Here is a 1,312-nt window from a genome sequence, read left to right as displayed (position 1 = left end):
GAGGACAGCATGGGAAAGACCCATCCCCATGACTCAATTACCTTCTACTGGGTCCCTCCCACAACATGTGGGAATTCAAGATGAGATTTGAGTGGGAACACAGCCAAACCATATCAGCAGGGCTCAAGAGATATTTGTTGAGTGAATAAATGACCTGGTTTGTGAATTTCCACAGTTACTTACTTCCCTATTCATTTTCTCAAATTGCAATATGGAGAATTCTCTGCTTCCCTCATGGGATGATAGTTTATATGTGACAGAGCTTTGTGCCTGGAGTGACTGTTTTCACTAAGGATAACCGAGCAGCCCGTGACCCCCCCAAGACCAGCCACGTCACCCTCACTGGGAGTTTGCAGAACAGCAGCGCCTCCCACCGAGGCCACCAGTCAGTATCTGCATCCGCTAATACCTGCAGGGAGGCGTGCACCACCCCCAGCCCAGAGGCTCCGTCTCGGAGGGAAAGTTCCCTTGAGGGAGCAGGGAGGCCTGCAGTCAGCATGTGAGCCCTCCGGGCTGTTCTGCAAAGCTGGCCAGGAGGGCTGGGCTCATGGGGCCAGGCCATTATCTCTCATCCCCCGGTTTACACTTTCCCCACATTCCTCCCAGCCCGGAAGGGTCAGCAGCTGGTTTCTTAGGGCCCCCAGGGGGCATGTGTCACAGAGCATGTGCAGAGCCTATTGTCAGCCGCAGCAGCCATCGAGGAGCCCTCCTCGCCCATTTCCTGTGGGCCATTGATCCTCTCATGGCCCTTTCCAGCTTTAGACCAGCTGGCTGCCATTCTAGGCACTTAGCGTGTGCGGAAAAATTTTATGTTTTCATGATATCAGCAGGAAAATAGGAAATGGCTTGGAAAACAGGGAGGCATAAAACAATGGTTTGAGGAGAGTGAGCCTTGGATAAACATCCCTGGTTGCCCTTTGGAATGTGTGGATTTAAACACACACTCAGGAATATATGCTCCGTGGTGTGAGAGATAAACATCCTGAAACTCATTAGGCCAGCAGCTCTGTTCTAGCAAACGCTGCTGAGGGACGCAAGAAGGGCTGGCCAGGGCCCAGCACAGGGTACCCTGCAGCTGCTTGGCCCTGCTTGTGAAGGCAGGGGACCTGCCATTGGCCTCAACAGCACAACCTGGCCCAGTCACCTAACAGGTGCAATGCTCCCCATGAGCTCTGCATGTACTGGGCCAGTGCTGGGAGCCCAGGTCCCTGCCAGGTGGGCTTGGGGTCTGGTGCCTGGGGAGGACGGTGGCTGGCTGCCAGAAGGGAGTTCACGTTGTGGTCTGCCTCTTTCTTGACCCATCTGCAGGCAG

At 54.5% G+C, this 1,312-nt stretch overlaps 1 annotated feature.

Moving 5' to 3' along the window:
• Window positions 221-736: an enhancer, noted in NCBI's record as "H3K4me1 hESC enhancer chr2:240753063-240753578 (GRCh37/hg19 assembly coordinates)". NCBI's record gives its function as "activates a minimal SCP1, AML or CMV promoter by ChIP-STARR-seq in naive H9 embryonic stem cells {active_cell/tissue: H9 hESC(naive)}" and the evidence as "EXISTENCE:reporter gene assay evidence [ECO:0000049][PMID:30033119]".

Source organism: Homo sapiens, chromosome 2, assembly GCF_000001405.40.
Source record: "Homo sapiens chromosome 2, GRCh38.p14 Primary Assembly".
Lineage (NCBI taxonomy): Eukaryota > Metazoa > Chordata > Mammalia > Primates > Hominidae > Homo > Homo sapiens.
This window is presented reverse-complemented; position numbering and strand designations above follow the sequence as displayed.